The 23,967-nt window shown below is 39.3% G+C and overlaps 1 long non-coding RNA gene across 1 annotated transcript in view; it reads left to right on the top strand.

Annotated features, from left to right (window-relative positions):
- LOC105371604 (uncharacterized) overlaps positions 1-21,249 on the top strand; it is a 28,428-nt gene extending 7,179 nt beyond the window's left edge. The window contains exons 2-3 of the long non-coding RNA XR_922259.3: positions 18,098-18,224; positions 20,607-21,249. This is a non-coding gene — a long non-coding RNA (uncharacterized LOC105371604). The remainder of the gene's footprint in view (positions 1-18,097; positions 18,225-20,606) is intronic.
- Positions 21,250-23,967: the final 2,718 nt, after the last annotated feature.

Genomic DNA, 23,967 nt, shown 5'->3' with positions numbered 1-23,967 from the left:
GGCACCCCAAAATAATTGCAATGTAACATCAAAGACCACTGATCACAGATCACCATAACAGATAAAATAATAATGAAAAAGTTAGAAATATTATGAAAATGTGACTCAGAGACATAAAGTGAGCACATGCTCTTGGAAAAATGGCCCTGATAGACTTGCTTGATGCAGGATTGCCAGAGACCTTCAATTTGGAAAAAACACAGTATCTGGCCAGGTACGGTGGCTCACGCCTGTAATCCCAGCACTTTGGGAGGCCAAGGCAGGTGGATCACCTGAGGTCAGTAGTTCGAGACCAGCCTGGCCAACATGGTGAAATCCCGTCTCTACTAAAAATACAAAAATTAGCAGGGCATGGTGGCAGGTGCCTGTAATCCCAGCTACTCGGGAGGGTGAGGCAGGAGAATCACTTGAACCCAGGAGGCGGAGGTTGCAGTGAGCTGATATCACGCCACTGCACTCCAGCCTGGGTGACAGAGAGAGACTCCATCTCAAAAAATAAATAAATACAATAAAAACACACAGTATCTTTGAAGTGCAATACAGTGAAGCACAATAAAATGAAGTATGCCTGTACTAACTTCTTTTTCTTTGGATATACACTCCGCAGTGGGGTTGCTGGACCATATGATAGTTCTATTTTCAATTTTTTTTAGGAAACTTCACACTTTTTTTCATAATGGCAGCACTAATTTACATGACCAACACCAGTGTTTAAGAGTTTGCCTTTCTCCACATCCTCCCCAGAATTTGTTATTTTTTGTCATTTTGATAATAGGGACTTTAACTGGGGTGAGGTGATATCTCACTATGGTTTGATTTGCATTTTGCTGATGATCATGGCATGGGATTTGCTTCAAGAAACCAAGCCTTACCCTAGTAAATACCACCATCGCTTACATTTTTAAAGAATATTTATTATATTTTAATCTCATAACTGCCAAAATGCTTTTATGAAATATGTATTTTAAAAAATTCATATTTGGGCCATTCTTTGTGGAGGGCAATAAACAACTGTAAAGATAAGAAGACACTGAAATTTCTCCATTCAAGCATGTGACAGTCTGAGTTCCCTCCAAGAGCCAGGGGACTTTACTCTGTTCTTTTAGAACACTTGTTATCCCTCACCAGAGGCAACTGTCTCAAATGTATGTATCAAATGATAATAAGCAATAATAAATAGCTCAGTTCAGGGAAATTATTCACAAACTAGAAAACTACATTCAAGGAATATATTCTTTTGATACTGGGTCAGTATTGTCATCTTAGTTTTAAGAAAATAAATATGCAGGGCATGGTTTTTCCCCATGACACATGATGCCTGCGCTATGCATAGTGAACCAGCATGGTTAACTTCATTTATGAAGTACGGCCATTGTTTTTCATGATGTTAGCATCCACTGTTTGGAAACAGAGATTGGATAAATGCAGATTCTCAAGACAGAAGTCAGCTAAAGCTTTTGAAATCAATAATAAGTTATGAGTCACTCAATTCATTTCTAAATAATAGTCTTAATGTCACCGATTGCTGTGATATTGTATAAACCCAGAAAGAAGAGTGGAAAATTATTCCTTGGCTATGACACAAAATATTACAGACCCCAGGATTCTTTATGGGAACTGATGGCTTTGGGAACTTAGTGCCCTAAGAAATAAATAAGTGACTCTCTAATTACCTTTCCACTGGTAGATCAACTATAGGAGACATTGTAAAACTATATTAGTTCAGCTAGAAAACATTTGACCTTATTCTCATGAATCGTTTATTCTGTTGTTCTCGTATTTTAAAGGAAATGTTTTCTTTTCTACAAGGATTCAAAAATAAGCTGCTAACTTGACCTGTTAAACTAACTAGCAAACTTAGTGATGGAGCAATACAAAAACCACCTGAACAGATAGTAAAGTATGATATTATGCAGGAATTGCCTCTCCAAAGCCCTTACCTCATTCATATGCGTATAGAGGAAGTCACCACAGAAGCACAGGGTCATTGCACTTCCTACATCAGCACAGGGTCAGCACACTCCCCAATTCAGCACTAAGTCATCACACTCTCCACATCAGCACTAGGTCATCCCACTCCCCACATAAGCACAGGGTCAGCACACATCTTTATCCCTGAACCTGAACCTGAACCTGTGATTGCGACCTTATTATGGAAAAAACACCTTTGCAGATGAAATTAATTATGCATCTTTAATGAGATCATCCCGGATTATCTGTGTGGCTCCTTAATCCAGACAAGTATTCTTAAAAGAGACACGCAGAAGGATACAGACACAGGCAACAGGGGAGAAGGATATGTGGATATGGAAGCAGATATTGAAGTTGTGCAGCCACAAGTCAAGGAACACTTGGAGGTACCTAGGCTGGAAAAGGCAAAAAAAAGGTTTTCCCCTAGAGGCTCTGGAGGAAGCACAGCCTTGATGATCCCTCATTGTCAGAACCATGAGAAAATAAATTTCTGTTGTTTCAAACCTCCAAATCTGTGATTATTTGTTATGTCAGCCCTGGGATATCCATACAGGGCATAAAAGTTACTTTTTTATTTCATAGAGCTTTGCATGAAGATAAGTCACATCCAAACTTGATATAAATGCCGTCTGATATAGAGACTGCCTGGCATCATTCAGAGCCTCTAGAATTTCAGCTTCCTGACATGTCTAAGTAGAATGTTTGCTTTGTATCCCATGGGAGAGTACCTTGCCTGTGAGAGAGAGAATGGGCCAAATGTTTTGTGGTGAGAAGAGTGCACTGTGGTGATGGTCATTTGTGCTGTTTACCAAGTATTTCTTGTACTCCAATCTCCAGGTACATGGCAGGATTTCATTTCTTTTCTCCCTTATAGTTGAATTGAGCCATTTAAGTAGTGCTAGTAAATTAGTTGAGAGCAAAAGTGACATCTGTCATTTAACTGTAGGGCACTCCATAAAAATAGAGGCTTAATCTGTGTTGTTCATTGTTGTATTCTCAGCACCTGTAACGAAACGTGTGTTTAGTAAATATTCATTAATTGCCAATAAAGTCATTGGCATTTACCGACATGTTCTTCATCAAATTCCTCCTTTTGACTAACATTTTAGTTTGGGGTAGAGAGTCGAAGTAACTGCGCAAAATTCAACTTTATAAAAATACAAGCACTAATTTGAGTTTTTCCATCTTCAATTGGTAATCACTGTGCCTGTCTTTATTTAAAATTTTGACTTTTTTCATTATAGATTTTTGCATTAATCTTAATTTTTAAAAATATAGCATTACAATTTTATTTACCTCAATTACTGAGATTTTTGGTGTTCCCTTAACTTTTGCACCCAAGGCAAGTGTCTCACTCACCTCACCCTCATCCTACTCCTGGAATAGCTATAATTTACATATATTTTCACTTTGTTATAACGAAACCTCCAATATCCAATGAAGGTTGGAACCATGCAGGACAATATTAAAGTGAAAAGTGGTTATCTATTTATATTCCTAGCAAACCACTCATGAGTTATCCCATGCAATCTCAAAACAAGATCCATTCTTAAAAATAGGCAATGTATATAGATAACCTCCTGTCATTTCTCTCTGCTCCAGGATTGCTGGCTCCTGAGACGTAATGTGGACTCTTTTAAAATGTGATGGGTAGCACTATAAACTGGATTCCTCAAAATTTAGGATGCTTAAGAATTACAAAGAAGATGATTTAAAATGCAGAATATAGCCTACACCATCACTACTACCATCAAAACTCACACAATCACCCCTACCGCAGTCATAATTTCATCTATTTAGAACGAGATATAGGAATTTGCAGAAACCCAAGGGATTCTTATGCAGGTAGTCTAGCTATTATGACTTGAGGAAGGTTGCAAGCTCCTTTCTGCTGCCATCTTAACAATTTATTAATGCTAATGGGAATAAATTGGCAGTCATGGTATTGAAAATGATTGGCAGCTGCTTATAATAGATAAACTCCAAAGCACCCATGGTTTGACACAACATTAATTTATTTCTAAAGCACCAAAGTCCAATCATCAGTAGGAGAACGGATTGTGGGCTTACTCAAAGCACCCACTCAGGAACTGGTGCTGATGGAACCTCTTCCATCTTCAAAATATGGTTTCTAAGGTTGCTCCAAGAGCATACATCCAGGGAATGGACCATCAAGGAAAGAGAGTATGAAGGATTACATGGAAGCTTCAGGTAGGCCAGGCCTACAAATGACAGACTTTGCTCCCACCCACCTTCCATTAGACACATAGCCACACCCAGATTTAAAGGTGCTGGGAAATATAGCCCCCTGGTTGGGTAGCTGCTTCCCAGCAAAGACTGTTTGCTATGGAGAAGGGAGTCCAAATTATTGGTAGATAGCCAGTTGTATCTGTCAATGACACACATCTATACAGGAGAATAATGGCCAGGCTTTGGATACAATGAATGGGACAACATTGAGGCAAAGATAAGGACCCAAAGTGAAAAACTGGTCTCAGGGACGAACATCTACAAATTGTCCATTAAGCCAGGAATATCTTTATGGCTACAGGTTACAGCCAAGGCTATCACATTAGCTTTCTTTTAGGCCGTGTTGAAATGTGGAATACTTTGCAATTGATATATGATTCATAGCATCTTCGATCTCATAGCTGGAAGGGAATTCAAAGTAAGATAGTTCCAGTGGTTACGGTGTTATTGTTATACAATTAATGAGTCATTTGAAGCCTATGGTATGCTGAAAAATGCCTCCCTGCAAGAGACACTATTAATGCTTCCCAATCCCTGGAATTGGCAAATGCTACCTTTGTCAGTGTGATTAAATTAAAAATCTTGAGATTGGAAGATGATCTTGGATCAGCCAAGTGGACCCCCAAATAAAATCACATGTCTTCCTATAAGAGAGAGGCAGAGGGAGATTTTTCACACAGATACACAGAGAATGATGTGGCGTGAAGATGAAGCAGAGAGAGACTTGAAGATACTGGTCTTAAATATTTGAAGGATGCAGCCACAGCTAAGGAATGCCGGCAGCCACCAGAAGTTGGAAGAAGCAAAGAATAGAATCACCCCAGAGTCTCCAAAGGGAGCACAACCCTGCCAACATCTTTATTTCAGCACTGTGATGCTACTTTCAAACTTGTGTCCTCAAGAACTATGACAGAATAAATTTATGTTGTGTTAAGCTACTAAATTTGTAGTGATTTCTTATAGCGCCATAAAAAAAAATAAATACAAAGTCCAAGGAGGTTATGTGATGTGACTAAGGACTCACAGATAATAAAGAGTAGAAAGAAAATTAAAATGCCTCTTTTTGCAGGCCTCTTTTCACTACAACATTTACACTGCAGGGATTTTTATTAGATATTCAAGGGCTAGAGGTAGAAATGGGGATTCAAGGGGCTAGAAGATGAGCACGTTAGAAAAATTTATTCCAGTGTTTCCTAGCTTTCTGGCATAAACATTTGGTGGCTTTCAGGACCCCAACTTCACAGTAGGAGAGCAGCGTTTCTAGGGCACTGAACTGGCATCGACCTCCCCAGCCAAGAACATGAGTCAACTCACAGCAGTGAGCATTGCTGGCCAAGACTGCAGGATGAGCCAGCTCTTTGGGTCTTTTCTTTTTTTCTGCTCCAAGTTTGTAGGTGGATCAACATATTTTTCAAGTGAAGAAAGATTCTGGAGTTTGGCAAGCAACATCTATAGATATTAATGGCCCTTTTAAGCTGAGGCTTAATTAATTGACCAAAATGATGAATGTGGCTAAGAGTTATGGTTTGTAGATCCAAGGCTCACTGAGCACACCCATATCAAGGTAATCTGCATCAAGTCATCAACTCTGCAGAAAGTTACCCTTGTTCTTTCCAATTCACAAGGATGGTAGCATACATTCCATTAAAAACTCAGAATCGAATAGGAGCCTTTTACTGGAATTCAGACCTTCCTATCCCCAGGGGAGTCTGAGAAAATAGGAAATCATCAGCTTGGCTCAAGAGTAACATGGTGCATATCAATGAGGGAACTGCTTGAATCTCTGAACTCCCAAATTGCCATGTGTCCCTTTACACAGGACTCAGCTATACCAAGTGACTGAAGATGAAAGAGTGCTGCAGTTGCTTTCAGAGTATCTGGCTTAAGTCCTGGATGTTCTAAAACTGGTTTAGAAGTCACTTTGAACCTCTCAACCTTCTTACCTGTGAAATGGTAGAATAAGAGCCTTTAAAGTTATTCCTGGCTCTAAAGTCTGGGACTCTGCATTCAAGTAATGAACATAATCAGGACTGAGACACTTGGACAAATGCACACATCCATGCCCCAGACTAAGTTTCTCTGGCCCGATAGGTATTAGGTAGACAGGGACTGGGTATTCTCACATGTGTGACTGGAGAATATTGACAGAGCATCCTCTACTTTGCAGATACTTGTAAGCTGTGTTATAAATAAGTGTATATTTATCTGTTACTTCCCAGAGGAACTTGGATGAAGTGTGAATCATTAATCTATTATTTCAGATATGTCTATCTGCTCTGTTGGAAAACAGAAGAGAGATCAGTATTAAAGGAAAGCATGAGGGTCTACACAAATGTAAAGAACTATCTCCAAAAGACTTGTTTTCTTAAAAAGACAAAATTCTAAATTCTATACACACCACTCTAGATAGGATAAGGAAAATGCAGCTTGATATAGTAAAAACACATAAGCAAGCAAACAAAAGCATAGAATTAAAAGACAAATGAAAATTTGGATTCAAATTTCAAAACTGTCACTTGATTAAGTCAGCAAATGAACCTTGGTTTGCTGATGGGCGGCACAAAAGCCATTCAGAGGAAGTGGAGCTCCTCCACATGCTAGGAGTGACAATGAGCAAATTACATCCTCTCAGACAGTTTCTTCATTTCCAATATGAAGATAATAATAACTCATTCATAGTGTTTTCAGGATTTAAAGACAACAATTAGTGTAATAAACTTCCTGTAATGCCAGGAATATCTAAGCTCTCAGTATCCCATAGCCAATGTTGCCAAACATTGAGAACACCATTAATGATGAATGTCAATGGAGAGGGTGTTTAAATGACCATTTCAAGTAGTTTAGCTAAAAAGGAATGAGGAATAAAAAGGAGATAAAGGGATACGTTGAGATAGACGATGTAGCAGGTACCTTTTTTTTCTTTTTTGTCTGACAGTTATTGTGTTTTTTATTCTTATTGTGATTAATGGAGAGAGGACCCTAAAGGAGTCAGAATTCAATACGTTTAACAGGAAAAGGAACATTCTTCCACTGCAGTGGGTGGGCAGGAGGGAGGTAGAAGCAAGAGATGAAGATAACCTGAGCTTGTTGGGGCCGAGATTGCCCAAAGTTGGAGGTATCCTGGCCTGAGGGCCACAGTGCACTGCATGATGTGAGGATTGAGGTTTTTGGGGGAGGAAGGGTATGAGCTGGATGTTCAAGGAGAGTCGTAAATGTTTAAAAACAAGTCACAACCACCCCCTCACCCCACAATGAATTTGTTCACTTTGTCTCAGGGAGTTCACCTGAGATACATAAAAAATTGCCAGGTAGAAATTCAAAACTCTAAATTTGTAGGCTCCAAATCTATAAAATTGTAAACTTTTTTCCAGCAGGTTTCAGCAGCTAAATTGAGGAATATAGAATGCGGGTCATCTGGGTACTTCAGGAATGGAGTTGTCTTGAGTGATTGGAGTGAAATAACAATAACAATATTATAATGCATAGACTCTGTGGACTACTATGAGGGGAGAAAGAGAGGGGACTAGGGGTTGAACTACCTGTTAGGTACTATGTTCGCTACCTGGGTGCAATATACCCATGTAACAAACCTGTACATGCACCCCATATATCTAAAATAAAAGTTTAAATTAAAATAATAATAATATTGTAATGTGCCTACTCTGTGCCAGAAAGTAATTCTGGTTTGGTTAGAGTTTAGAACATACAAGTTTAGGCATTCATAAAATGAGAATAAGAGCATCAATGGCAGGATATTTTTTGTTCATCATTATTAATACTCTAATGCACAAAGGTGATTAAAAATGTAAGCACTGGATTTGCATAGGTTCGCATGGATTTAGAAATGGCACCTTTCACCATGACAACATGGTGAATCCCTGTCTCTACTAAAAATACAAAATTAGTCAGGCGTGGTGGCGCATGCCTGTAATCCCAGCTACTCAGGAGGCTGAGGCAGGAGAATCTCTTGAACCCAGGAGGTGGAGGTTGCAGTGAGCCGAGATCCCGCCACTGCACTCCAGCCTGGCAACAGAGCGAGACTTCGTCTCAAAATAATAACAATAATAATAATAATAATAAAGAGAAGTGCTTCTAATTTAGACAAGGTCAAACACTGGGGCAAGTCGAAGAAAGGGCTCTTCTTTTTTTTTCCCCATCCTATGAATTATTGAAGATCACTCAAAATCAACAGAGTGTGATGCCAGGAGTAGGATCTAGAGTCAGAAGAGCTGAGGCTAAGACCTGATTGACCATTGACTAGATGGTGATCTTAGACAAATTATTAAACCTCTTTCACTCTCCATTTCATTATTTGTAAATTGGGATAAGGATAAAATGACTCCACAATTTGCTGTAAGGATTAATATAGTTCTATACATGAAAGGGCTCTGTAATTAAGCTCAAAAATGCTGCCAAATCTTAGTTGTTGCTAAAAACACATTGTCTTTGTGTAAGTGGTCTGTGTCATGCAGATCCCATACAAGATTCGAGTTGTTTTGTCTTCTGAACAGAATAAGATTTTTGTAGTTTTTAATGTGTTACCAATCTGGGTCATGTTTACATTTCACAAAATGAATAAATGTAATAATGGACTTCAGGTTTCCACAAAGGAGAGTAGGGCAAGGACATTTAATAAGGAGCACAGGCTTTGGAGTTAGACCCAGTTCTAAATCCTGCTTCTGCTGTTTCTTAGCTGAATGACCTTGGAGAAGTTATTTAACTCTGAGTTTGGATACCGAGCCTGTAGAGGGAAGATTAATAATTCCTACCCTAGGGATTTGTTGAAAAGATAAAATGAGAAACTGTGTGTAAAAACATGTGGCTCCATGCCTAGCTCATAGAAGGAACTAAGAAATTGTGTTCACTTCCACTTTGCCATAATTTATTGTGGGCAGCATAACAACTGCCTCTTCTACTCTGTAGGAAAGAGAGCCCAAAAGAGAGTGTTCTTCAAGAAGCTTTGAGTTCAAATGGGATGAGAGAAGATTTAGAGGAAGAGATCAGAGCCTGGAGAGGGAGCGTCACTAGCATAGAGGGTAATGGTCAGCCAGAGATCCCAAGTGAGGATATGGAGTCTGAGGAACAGGCAGGACATAGACCTGTCTTTTGCAGATGTCTCCAAGGCTGTGGTTTTTGCAAGTGATTTTTCCACCTTATCCAGAGTGAGTTGGAAGAGCTCCCGATAACCTCCAAATTCAAAACGTATGGACATACACCCATCTCTGGAGCCAGAAAGGAGGTTTTCAAACTTTAGGCCCAATTCAGGCATGAACTATCCCTAAATATGTGGGGTAGGAAAATGTTCATCAAGGCATAAGCACTGCAGGGAAAGTTAAAGGTTTTTGCACCAGAACTGGTATTCCAAATCTGCTCGGAGGATTGTTTTAATTCAGCTGGAGACTGCTGATGAGTGGTGGAATTAATTTCTAGTTGAGAGAACTCTCTTTGTTTCTCTATGCTCTTTCTTCCAAAAGGAGCTTAACTGTTCCTCCTGATTAATTTCTAACTGTACATATACTGAATAGAATTAAAAACAGGCAGGCAAGCCATAGAAAACATCAAATGAGCTACATCCTAAAATAACTGTCTTTGTTTCAAAGACAGAGTATGGGCTGCCTATGCCAATCTCATCTGAGTTCATAATAGGGAGAAGGACGCAATGAAATCTGAACTGGCCCCGGAGGCCATACAGCATTACCATTGCTGGTGGTGGGTCCATGGGCCCCTCTCATGACAATGAGGGTGACACACTCACTCAGTTTTACTTACAAGAGCTCTGGAGCTTGATGACCCTTCAGTGCTGCCCCAAATTGGGGCCAGATCAAGCTTTTATTCTTCCATATCTACCATTCACTGAATGCAGGCTGACCTGGGAAAGGAGCTGCTACCTTGGGCAAGGGGGCCCTCTCCAGCTAGAGACAAGGCCCAGAGACAGGCTCAAGTCAGAGTGGCTGGCTCCCAACCTTCCCAACAGTTGGGGAAACAAGGGCTTCAGTCCTTAAGCAGGGCAAGGAGGAATTAATTTGAGGGAAACACTACTGCATCCACTACACCTTCTTTCTACATTTTCTCCCATGGAAACCACTCAGGTTATTTCTTGTCTTTAAATTATATTCAACATTTCTCTCCTTTGTCTCAGGTGCCATATGGTGTTAATATTCTGGTTGATACAAATCATTTTAAACATACAACATTTTTGGCATTTTATGGACCAAAAATTAGTTGCAAATGGACTTTTCTACCTTTCTGTCAGTTATGTGGAATTAACCAAAGTCTCTCTGAGCTATGTATAAATGTTACATTAGTTAACAATGAACAGTGCAAAAACATACACGCCTTCAGCAAAATAGCCATTCATTGATGCTGAGCTGCACCAATCTCTTTCATATATTTTCTATCAAATTCCAGAGATATAATGCAATGGAAATTACTTAACACTGCTGAGACTCAATTTTCTTCATCTGTAAAATGGCTAAAAGTTACCTACCTTAAAGAATTCCACAAAAAAAAGGAAGTACAAAAGAAGGCCCAGTAAATAAATGCCCACTATCAGTGTAAGGTGTTAATCATTGTAGCATTGACACCACAACCTTAATTCCACATGTATCAAACAGAATTTTGAAACCCTAGTAACTTAAACCACAGTGACTTCCAGCATATAGTGACAACAGAGCCCACTCAATGTTGAGAACTGTTTTTTTGTGGTTTTTTTGTTTCTTTGTTTGTTTTGTTTTTTTGAGTCAAAGTCTCGCTCTGTTGCCCAGGCTGGAGTGCAGTGGCATGATCTTGGCTCACTGCAACCTCCACCTCCCAAGTTCAAGCGATTCTTGTGCCACAGCCTCCCAAGTAGCTGGGGGTACAGGCATGTCACCACGCCCACCTACTTTTTGTATTTTTTAGTAGAGAACAGGGTTTCACCATGTTGGCCAGGCAGATCTCGAACTCCTGACCTCAAGTGATCTACCCACCTCAGCCTCCTAAAGTGCTGGGATAACTTTATCCCACCTCACCCGGCCTCAATGTTGAGAACTTTCAACAACAGACTCACACTCATTCATGAAGCAACAATTTGTCTGAATTACTTCTCTTAAAAAAATAGTTGTTCAAATAAATGTCAGGTTGCTAGTAATAACAAAAAGCTGGATAAATATTGAATGCCTATTACCAAGTTTAAAGTGTTTGCTTACCTTTGGGGTTTTCTAAAAGCTGATCAATAAAAATAAACATTGGGTTTTGATGTGTGATCACAGGCAACATCAAGACAGAGATTCTCAGCCATTCACTGATCAACACTACACTGGAACACACAGTATGGAAATAGCACTAGTCAAAGGTGAAGGCCTCCTTGCCAAAGAACATGGCAAGTACATTTTAGAAGCATCTGTAGCTAAGGGAGACGGGGAGAGCAAGGAAGATGGAGCTCTAGGTCTTTCAAATGCTTTCTTTCTGCAAACCCACTTTTGAATGGCTACAAACAACCATGGAACATTTTTGCCACCTTTGTCCACCATTTCTGTTATGATTGTATTGTTTCTGTATATAATTTTCCTCTTTTTTCCATTTTCCAAGCTTAAGCCAATATCTTTAGCCCACCCTAACATTGGTGATTAACTAAGGAATACGGTAAAGGAAATAGGTGTTCTTAATTACTCGTTGAGTATTACTTGTTCTGGATAGGTAGATGAGTAGCTTATCTTCAAGGTCAGCTTTAATCAAATTATCAATGTTAACAATTGTAATGATTATCACTAATTTTATTAAGCATGTCTTCTGAGCCAGCTACTATTTGATGTATTATACATTCTGTATCTAATTTAACCTTTACCAAACCTTATGAGATTGGTCATATGATTCCTATTTACACAGGTAAAAATTAGGGCTCATTGAAGATAAGCATTTTGGCCAAGATCACAGAACTGGCAGGTAGTGAAGGCAGAATCAGTACCCAGGGCTGCCTGAGTCTAAAGCCTTTGCTCTTTATATGTTCTTCATTTGGCATTTATTTACTAATATATTGTGAGCACCTGTTGAGTGCCACATACTTGGCTGGGCTGTAGGGACACCATCATGTGCAAAACAGAGTCCTAGCTTTCATGGATTATTTGATCAAGTAGGAATGCCAATAGGACAAATATATCTATATGTTAAAGGATATAAAGGGGGTGTGTGGAGTGTTATGGAAACTTATAACATGGGTATCTAACCTAGTTTGGGGAATCAATGAAAATGTGAAAGAAACATTTAATTTGAAGTCAGAAGAATGAGTAAGAGATAATCAGATGAAGGAGAACACAGGAATATTGGAGGGAAAGTGATAGTATGTTTGAAGGCCTAAGCCAAAAGACATAGCCCATTGGAAAAGATATCTGGCCCAACAAAACTGGAGCACAAACTGCTTTATTACGGGCAGTTGGGTGAGGGGGGATTTGTTACCAGGGGGCCGCAGATGAAGAATGAGAGGTAGTCAAGGACCAAGTCATGATGTACACGTGGACCAGCTGAATGGTATTGAACTTTATAGTGACATAGGGAAAACATCTAAAGGATTTAGGGACAAGATCAGATTTAGGCTTGGAGGAGGGCAAGAGTGGATATAGGGAGCCATGGTCTGCTTTAGATATTTTATAAAGGCACAGGTAAAAGAGAAGACATTTCTATCAAAGGAATTGGAATCTAAAGGGGGATGTAACAACTGGTAATGCTTGTTGAGAACTATGTGCCATTCATTCATTTTCAGATATTTTTTGAGCACCTACTTTGTGCCTGGCACTGTTCCAGGTGCTGAGGAGGCACCAGTGACCAAAAATGACCGTAGTCACGGAGCTTACATTTGAGCACCAGATACTAGGCACTTTAGAGATATTAATTAATTAACCCTCACCATAGCCCTACGACGTAGACTATCACATTATTTCCCTTTACAAAGAAACTGAGGTGCAGAGTAGTTAAGAACTGTCCAAGGTTTGCCTGCAGGTCTGTCTGGCCCCATGAATCTTTTGGTGAGATAAATGCAAGGGAAAGGCAAGAGACCTCGAGTGAGGAAAGCCAAAAGCACAGCATCTAATGTGGCTTCAGCGGTGAGAGCAACTCAGGATCCTACAAAGGCTAAATCTACAAGCTTTATTTCCAGTCTTGTAAATGACCCTTTTGAAGCTTTATATGATCTTCTATTTTGTTTTGCAACAAAACCACCATTGCCCTTTAATTACAGTATTTCTGTTGGGTAAAGTCCATTCTCTGTTTCACATGGAAATTAGCTATACTCTCTAGAGACAGTACTCTCAATAGCCAGGTTCCATGGAGCAGGACGTGATGAATCAGTTTGAGATGTTCTGGCAGGGTGATAATGCCTGTAGGTGCTCTATTGATTTTACTCTCATCCTGCTTCTTCTTCTCCTCCCTGAGTGTTTAATAAAGGAAACTTTGCTTTGCTTCGGTCAAGAACCAGATCCCCTCCTTGCTCTTTCTGGACAATTATGCCTTCTTAGCTCCTTAGTTCTCAATGCACCTCAGGAACCCAGACCAGGATTAAAAGGCCATTTTAGCATTGGTTTCTGGAAGAATGTGCTACAAAACACTTCCCTCAAACTTATGGTATAGATGCTGGCAATAAATTTCAAAATCAGATGTATTTGTAGCCCATAAATAGGCAAAACATGGCCAAGGATGGTGTTTCTCCTCCATTCTTCCTGCCCCCTCCCTCCCTGATCTCCTGTCCAGCTGAAGTCAGTTGGCATGGTTTTGCTGACATTGTTCAGCCCCTTTAGCCATGTCTTCAGACACCTGTGAGAGGTTTTGTGATGGTTAATTTTATGGGTCAATTTGAATGGACTGTGGAATACCCAGATAATCAGATACTCTAATGAAATATTTTGGGGGAATGTCTGCGAGGGTGTTTGTGGAAGAGATTAGCATTTGGATCAGACTGAGTAAAGAAACACCACCATCACCAATGTGGGTGGGCATTGTCCAATCTCTTGAGGGCCCAGAAAAAACAAAAAAGTAGAAGAAGGGTGAATACCCCTCCCCCGACCCTCTTGATCTAGGACATTCGTCCTCTCCTGCCCTCAGACGTCAGAGGTACTAGTTCTCAGGCCTTCAGACTTCAGGATGTACACCATCAGCACCCCTCCCTCTCCCCATTCTCTGGCCTTCAGCCCCAGACTGGGACTTATGCCATCCATTCTCTTGGTTCTCAGGCCTTTGGACTCAGGCTAAATAACACCACCAACTTTCCTGGTTCTCCAGCTTGCAGATCACATTATGGGACTTCTCGGCTCCATATTGCCATAAGCCAATGCCCATAATAAATAGGCATTCTCTTCTTATCTATCTACCTACCTGTCTATTAGCCTGTCCATCTATCTATCTATGTCTGTCTATCTATCTGCCCTATTTGTTCTGATACTCTGAAGAACCCTGACTAATGCCAGTTTTCAGAGAGAAGATAGGTAAAAACCACTTTCTATTTTGTATATGAGAAATTGAAAAGGGGTAAATACAAAGACAAGTACTTTCCCCATTACAGTCAAATTAGGCAAGAATTAATTTGCTTCTAATTTACTCCTGAACTAAGTGATAAGCTCCTCAAAGATGCTGTATTCTCTTCCACTGAAGGATGTTTACACATGAGGTTCCCTGTGCTAGGAGCAATGCTCTTCTACAAATCCCATCCAAACTTCCCTTTACCAGCTAACTGCTATCCATCTACCAACTCTCAGCCCCAGATGTCCTCAGCCCAGGCTAGGTGGTATCCTCCATGTGTGCTTTCAAGGAGTAAGGCTCTTTTCCACCATAACACTTGCCTCATTTTGTGTTTATGCCTTTGTTTGTGAGATTCTGTCATTAATCCAGTGTTTCCCACTAAGCCATAACAACAGACTGGTTTACCTACTCCTGATTCCCTGGCACAGTGCCTGATACATAGGACACACTCAAAAATATTTGTTTAATAAGTGAATGAAACCAAATTGCCAAAAGAGGAGTCTCTTTTCAAAAGAGGCCCTGAGTAGTAATAAGAAAAGGCATGAACTATATAAATCAGGTATAAATGGAAGTGTGCAGTGAGGCCCTGAGGACAGAATGTAAGGATAGGCCTTGAAAGTGACCCAAACACACATTCCCATGATGTTCCCTTGTTTTAACAACCTTTAATATGGTATCCACCAATTCAAGAGGGTTATCAGGCGCTCTGCCATTCCACATATGCCTACGGAGGTAAAATTTATTCTACCAACCTCTGGGGTAAAGCAATTTGATTAGTTAACTTGGATCAACAGGTATTTATCATTGATTAGGTATTGAACAGTGATCTAAGTGTAAGGGATTATAGAGAAAGTATTAACAGAAATGTGGCCCCTGCTCTCAAGAAGCTCACATTACAGCATATGGGCTTTGAATCCAAGTCTGATTTATTTCTCCCTGGTTGGCTGAGGAGTGAGTGTCAATTCACTGGGAATATAAATTTGAAACTTCTGTTTCTTCCAATGATGGTCACCAACTGTGCTATGTTGTTCCTATCTAACTCAGTTAGGGGTCCCTTAACCACTTCATGGCTTAATTTCTTAATTTTTCTAAATATTGTGGTTTTAAGAACTGCCTCCATTTAGTATTTAAAGCTTAGTCCTGTTTATTTATAAATCTTTTCTTGGAATTGAATTTAAAGTTATCTCTTCCCTTCACAAACCTCAATGCTGGCTGGAAATGCCTGTGGCTCCAGTGGGTTGGCCAGACATCATCCCTAACAGGGTGAGGTTGCTGCCCACTTGTGGGTTAACTGCTCTAGCTCATTGTCTACAGGCCACGTCATGATGTGCGGTCACTGCAACTGACCCCACTGACAAGTCTTGCTCATGCACAGATCTCCAAAGCATTAGTGATCTGCCATGAGACTTGGCCTCCTTATCAATCTGACCTCCAGCTTTATGACCCAACCTTCTGATGGGCATACATATTTGCCTCAGTCCCACCCTGATATGGTTTGGCTCTATGTCCCCACTCAAATTTCATCTTGTAGCTCCCATAATTCTCCCATGTTGTGGGAGGGATCCAGTGGGAGATAGTTGAATCATAAGGACAGTTTCCCCCATACAGTTCTCGTGGTAGTGAACAAGTCTCACAAGATCTGAAGGTTTTATAAGGGGTTTCCACTTTTGCTTCTCTCTCATTCTGTTTTGCTGCCACCATGTAAGAAGTGCCTTTTGCTTTCCACCTTGATTGTGAGGCCTCCCCAGCCATATGGAACTGTAAGTTCATTAAACTTATTTTTCTTCACAGTCTTGGGTATGTCTTTATAAGCAGCATGAAAATGGACTAATACACACCCCAAAGCCTATCAACATATTTAGGTTGCCCAATCTCATCTGTCTGCCACAGTGATGGCCAGGAGTATGAGCATGTGTAGTACATCTCTCCATGCTTCCCTAGAACTGAGAACTTGAAGAGCCCATCTTGGCATCCTTCTTGGGCAGACTGTCCCACATACCATCTTTTTTCCAATGCTGTTTTCCTTATTCGTGTGGTACAAGCACAGGTCATAGAGTCAGCTTCAAAAGCAGAAACTAGCTGAAGAATGAAATGCCAATAGTTTCCCTTCATGCCCAAATCCCCAATCTTTACAATCCTTGGACAGCCTTCTTCACTTGCCTGGGCTTCAGGGAGGGAAGTCTTTCCCATGGGCAGGAAGGACAGGGTTTCTCTTAATTCCTTCTGCATCCTAAGGTGACCTCCACTTCTCTGGGCCTATTATATTGGCAAAGGAGGGAACAGGGATTGGTAGGAGAGCCTCTCTAATAAGCCCATTTAGGAAGGGATCTGATAGGTCTTTTAACTTAGAATGCTGGACACTTACAGCCTTTTGTCTTCATCTTTGGGCTTTACCTCCCCTTTAGGAACTACAGGAAAAGCTGACTCAATGTCTAGTGACATATTCTGTAAAGGAATAGTAGACAACGCATGTGGCTCTGAATGAAACAGGTCTGAATGAAACAGCTTATGTCAATTTCAAAGTTTTTATGTCCAGCCTTTCTTCATTCCCATCTGAATCAAGTATAAAATAAACTCCTTTTTTTTCATAATTAATCCTTCCTGCCAACCTGACTCCTTCACCTAGGAAATGAATCTCCTTTCTCAGGATTCTTTACCTCACACTAAAGATACACCTAAATGTTCTCTGTGGCCATAAATGCTCATTAAAACTTTTCTGCTAAACTAGTTAAGTAAACTTTCTTTATCTTGCCTTCCTTTTACCCCAAATTCTCAAGTCCATCACTAACTTTCTTCACTTCTGCCTTCCTTTTACCCCAAATTCTCAACTCCATCACTAACTTTCTTCACTTCCAATTCTACTCACCACCCAATTCTTTTCAATTTCACCTTAGATTTTGTTACTATTCTGAAACTTTTCTCTCAAAGATTCTATGGCATAACTACAAAAGTCATTTTTTCCTCATTCTGTAGGAAATTACTGAGAAAAATTGGCATAAATATAAAGGCTAGACAAGTAAAAGGTGGGATTGAGGTTGGGGATATGTAAACAAATATTCTGATGGAAGTAAAGACGGGAATGAGAGCGAACACAGGTCGGGAAGAAACCAGGAAGGTTCCAGAGAAGGTATCTGTATGGCCAGCTGGCCACAAACAATACTCATGGTCAGCAAGTATTTGTGTGTTGGGGCATCAAATTAGCTTATAGAACGAAGAGAAAAACATTTCTCTAAGCCCTCAAGTCCTGTGGTTTTTGTAACTTTGCCCCTGGAGCATATTTGTAAGAGCCAAAGCAAGATGAGAGCCCACTGCTCTGATGACTAGTAATTGTCCCACATATTTACACATATAAAGAAAAAATCATATATCCTTGAATTTTTCCTTCTTATAGCAGTGGTTGCAAGAACTCCTTGACCAGTGTTTCCCAAAATCTGTTCCTTGATATATCCCTATTCGGCAAGAGCCATGAGGATGAAGATTTATCTGCTGGAATCTCCAGTGTCTGGACCCGGCACAAAGTAAGTGCTCAGAAATACCTATTGTATGAATAAAGAAATGAATGAATGTTGCACATATAAATACATCTACCAACATTTCTTTGGTAAAGTTTGGAAAAAGCTTGGTTGAGCAAAATTCCTTTGCTGAAGGACTGCTTTGAACCTTTACATTATGATACAATAGAGGGCATTTCTCAAATGCTTTTATGCATGAGATCATGTTTCTCTACATAGCTTCTGAACATATACATTTGGAGAAAAATTCCCTAAATAATTGCTGGTAGTGCAGCGCTAGGGCCAATTCCTCCATCTCCAGTTTACCTGCCCTCTCCCTTCATGCAGTGCTCACTTGGATCTGCCAGCCTTTGTGATGTCCCGTTCTTCATATGTAAACAAAACACAACACACACTGTAAGAACAAGGGAGTTTAAATTAACTGCCTATTTAACTGAACCACATCTCTTGGTTTTCCTCCAAATATCTATGTAAAAATGCAGCCCACACAAGAGTACATGTAACGTTTAGAAAGGGATATGGTGTTTACATTATTAGCATTTGTAATAGGTATTTGTGAGTATTGAAAATTTTATATGGCTGTTGTGAGAACTAAATCAGATTATATATGTTCTAGTACATTATACACCCTCAAAAACCAGGTGTTAAAGCCAAGTAGATCTGCAGGGCACAATGTTGGAAATTATGAATAGCATGAAAGAGAAGGGTTCTAAAAATATGCTGAATTATGGAAAATTATATATCAGTATTTGACAAGACTAGATTCAGCTGATATGACAAATTATGCCTAGATAAAGGTCAATGGAACATCATTACATCCTTATTTGGTCAAATGTCAATGAGATAGGGCACTCAATTTGCCTTTGTCAAAAGTTAAAGATGGACCACTTGATTTATCTTAAATGTTGGTTAGGAAGGCCAAAATAAAGATAGCGGTAATGACAACTTTCTGTGTAAAAATTTTTTCTATCATAAATAGTTGTGCCTTTGACTTTTCTTTAGTCACTTACATTAGTCAAAGGATCTAGGCATTAGAGACAAATGTGACACTTCCTTCAAGACCTACTAAACTTGTCTCATTTACTCAACAAATATTTAATTTATTCTACAAATATTTATTTTGAGCATTTACTAGACAAGACAATATGCTAGTTTTTCTGGAGGTACAAAGAAGAGTCAGACATGAGTTATTAAAGCCTTCAAGGTTCTTATAAACTAAGAGAATAGCAAAAGCAGGCATAGATTGACAAGATTACAAAGAAATTTATATGTGCCATAACTAACGTGCTGATAAAAAGTTATACAAACTCCTAGTGGAACACATTTTATTGTATTATAACTCTTAATTTACAATTCTGTCTCCCTTTGAAGATGGATTTTATCTTTTATATATCTGCAGACAGACATCATACGCTTTCAACAAATGTTTAATAAAAGAGTGAATGGTTGAACGAATGAAACTAAAGACTCTGAGATTTAGTTTTCAAAATAGTGCTACTATAGAATCATCTTTCATTTGCATATTTTTTAGGAAATAATTATTTTCTTGAAGCAAAGGACCATGTCATGTCTCATTGTAAATTCTATATAGAACCTGGTTGGCACAGTTAATGCAAAATAAATATTTTCTGAATAAAATGACTTAATTAATCAGAAAAGACACTAACAATGCATAACAGATAAACAATTCCAATGTTTTTGTTTAAACTCACAGACTTCTATGCAAAAAAGAATGCATTTTCATGTATATAAATTTACCTCAATAAACTTAAAAAATAGCTAATACTGTACTGCATACTTGAAATTTGCTAAGAGATACATTGTAAATACTCTAGGAAGGAAGGAAGGAAGGGAGGAAGGGAAAGAAAGAAAAAGAGAGAGAAGGAAGGAAGGAAGGGTGGGTGGGAGGGAGGAAGGGAAAGAAAGAAAGAGAGAGAAAAAGAAAGAAGGAAGGAAGGAAAGAAAGAGAGAAAGAAAGAAAGATAGAAAGAAAGAAAAAAGAAAGAAAGAAAAAAAGAAAGAAAGGAAGGAAGGAAGGAAGGAAGAAAGAAAGAAAGAAAGAGAAAGAAAGAAAGAAAGAAAGAAAGAGAAAAAGAAAAGAAAGAAACTATTTGGGTGATGGATATGTTAATTAGCTTAGCTTGAATGTGGTGATCATTTCACAATGTGTACATTTATCAAAACTTCAAGTTATATACCTTAAGTATATACAGTTTTATGTTAATTATGCCTCAGTGAAGCTGGGGCAAAAAGAAAGTTCATTACGCCACAAAGCAAGAACTCTCGAGATAGGGTGACTGCAGAGTCAGCTGATTTAACAGCATTAGAATCCAATTTCTTTCTCTCTCTATGTGTCCTGACATTTTGGATGGGTCATTTTGCCCTCAGATTCGTTTTTCTCCTGGTTTCAAGATTCTACAGTAATTCCAGACGTGACATCATCCAGACAAGAAAATGTTTAGAGGAAGAAGAAACCATTTTCTGTCTGTATCTTTGTTAAAGCAAGTTAACTTTTCCTAGCTGCCCCCAACAGACTTTTCTTCATGGTTCAGTGGCCAGAATTATCATTTGCCCTGAACCAAAGACACCTAAAGTGCGTAGAACCACTTTGATTGGCTTGGAACATCATTGTCAACTCCCTCAACCTCCATCCCTGGGCTGGCCCGGGGACCAGCCTTCCCTAGACACATGGCTCTCCGGACGTGGTTGTTTATACTAACAAAACCAAGTCTGTGAGGAAGTAAGAGCGGAAGAAAAGAATGTTAAAGAGGCACCCAACAGTAATGCTACATGGAATGGATTTTCTAAATACTAAAAAATTAAAAGTGCATTTATGATGAGAATAGAACCTTAGGTTCCAGGACAAATTCTCAAGAGAACTTGGATCCAAGTAAAGTAATTTTTGACACTTCCTCATCACCTCCCTCACAGATGACCCTCTCCTCCCTCACAAATACCAATCCCCCTCCCAATGTTTCACCTTCAAGCTAACCTCTAGTTGCCCGGGATTCCCAAGATGTCTCATTTAGACCTCTACTCCTGCAGCCAGACCTCACTCACATCTTCCAGCCATTACTTCTCCTCCTATCAAAAATTACCTAGAATCCCACTTATTTTTTAGAACACTATTCTCAGCACTCCAATAGCTTACCTCTTTTTATTTTCTCATTTTCTTTTAAATTGTTTGCAGGAAACCTGGTCATACTATGTGAACAAAGACATGTACATTTTGACAAGTTCCTATGGAGTAAAACTAGCCTCAATTCAGAAATACACTTTATCTCTGAGAATGGGTGTCTATGATCCTCAGACAGGTTGAAGGGGAAATATGAGGGAAGGGAAATTTTCCTAGAGGCCCTCACACAATCATCTCTTCCATCATGGTCTTTCTCTTTCCTGTGCTCTGAATAGTCTGTTCTTCTTGTATCGAGGGCAGATGACGTATTTATAACATTTCTGGCAGCTGGAAAGCTACGGAGGGAGGGTAAAGAAAGAGGAGTTGTGAGACGCAAAAGATATCATTGCCTTAAATGCTACAGCTAAAGCTGTTGAATGGCTTAGCTCCCCCTACAGGATGCCATGTAACATAGCAGCACACACTTAGAAGGTACCATTTTGTTAATCTCCTGGCCCTTCAGTTTCATCCTGTCTTGCTCTATCATAGGAGACTGCACAGTCATGGCCGACATCTTCAGCCTTCCTACACCAGAAACTTCTTCCTAGCCTTCCTAAACTTCTGCAAATAGACTCAAATATCAGGAAATCAAATGTTTTTCAAAATTAAGGAGATGAACTTCAAACATCCGGTAGTGGGAAGTTGAACTGAGAAACTGCTAATGTCTTCTTCCAATTCTAAAGTACTGTCAAAGTCAAATAAAGCATAGAGATGAATCTCTGAAATTAAGCCATTTCGTGGGGAGGAAACAATGGTAATTCAGGCCATACATGCAGACTGTCTTTAGCATGTCCCAAAAACAAAGAGGTTAGGGGTTTTATTTTTTAAAAAAGGAAACGTTACATATTGTCCTTCGCAAAAGCTCACTGGCACTAGTAAGGTCTGGGAGAGTTGGCAGGATTTGGTTGGTGACTGAAGGCAGTAGGTAAAACACAAGGGGTTGTTTCAGCAGCTCTTAGATAAATCAGGTTTCAGCAGGAAATTTCAGCAACTAGGCTTGCAGAGAATTACATTCTTAGATCAATGTCATGTGCTTGGAATGTTTTCTCCCCCTGGCTTCTCCACCCTGTTTTAGTAGGGTATAACAAGAATGCCCCAATTCATATGATTAGCTTTCACAATCATTGTCCTTCTTGCCACAGTACAAGCTGTTCACATAGTAGGCTCTGGCCTCAGCTCGTGTATGACCTATAAATAGCACCTGTGTCACCAGAGGGAAAAACTGCTGAATCAGGGACATGGGTTAGAAGGAGTGTAAATCATCTTTTGTCTGAAATACTCCTAATTGATTTTTAAAGAAAAAGTCTCAACAAGGGTGTGTGTGTGTTTATGTGTGTGTGTGTGTATCTGTGCATGTCACACACAGCTTATCAGAAAGAAATCAAGAGCAGGAGTGAATGAGCAAGACAGAAGACAATGCTCATCTTCAGCCTTCCTACACCAGAAACTTCTTCCTAGCCTTCCTATGTTGTACTATATTGCACTTAGAGAAGTGCAGTTAGAGAAGACACGAGCAAAAAAGAGCAGAATTTCTTATTCCAGAAACCTCTATCATCACAATCAGACAAACTCTTCATAATTGGGCACCCCACAGAATTACACCATAGTGCCATCTAGCTCTCACTACCAAAGCTTGACATCCTATTCCCAGCTAGGTTAAGAGGTTTAGGGTTAGTCACTGACCAGCAAAACTAAACTGATTGCCATTATTTGATAATGAAAATAAGCAAAATCCCCCAAAGAGGTTTATGTTTGGTAATAATTTATATTCAACTTATCTTATCAACATTCCAAACCAGTTTCTCAATATGAATATTAAGACTTAGATCTTTCTTGTTGAATATAGATTCAATGTTGCTCTGGGTTTTTATTAAACAAATTTCCACAAAGGTTGCACTGATTACTTCCTATCTTCTTTGGAAAGCTGTCAGCTGACAATGCTACCGGCTATAGATCTGATGTCAACAAATCACTGGTCTTGCAAATTTCCAGAGCATTTGCAAAAATCCCTAAAAAGAACAAATGGGAAAATTTCATTTTAATTCACTTATGCTGAATAGCAGGGTTGTTCATGTAGTATTTGTAGAGAGAAGGAGTGCTGGAGTCATGTAAAATAAAATAATAAACAAGTGTCACGCCTGCAGAAGATCAAAGATTCTTATTGTAGGTATGATCTAGAAGAAAGTCTAAGAACTGTATTTTGTGGTGCTTCTGAGTTGTAAATTCTTTACTAAAGTATTCAATTATGGGAAATCGTGCCTGCTTCCCACTGCTGGTGCTGGCTGGGATGGAAATACTAAATGCCAAGAAGGAAAGTACATAATGGTTTTACTCTTTCTTCTAATAAACAGTATCATGGTGGAAAGAACTTGGCCTTTGGCCTTAGAGACTTGAATTCAAACATTGAAACAAAGCACTTTCTAAGTATTTGGGATAATTAACGTCCTTGAGCCTATCAGCATTATTGCAAAAAATAGTGGAGATAATATCTGTAAAATATCAAATATTGTATCTTTTTTATAAATAGTCTTTATTTTGTGTAAATACTATTAAAACATCAAAGAGGAATATAAT

This window comes from Homo sapiens, chromosome 1 (genome assembly GCF_000001405.40).
Source record: "Homo sapiens chromosome 1, GRCh38.p14 Primary Assembly".
In the NCBI taxonomy this organism is placed as follows: Eukaryota; Metazoa; Chordata; class Mammalia; order Primates; family Hominidae; genus Homo; species Homo sapiens.
Note: the sequence above shows the minus strand (reverse complement) of the source record. Positions and strands in the feature narration are given on the sequence as shown.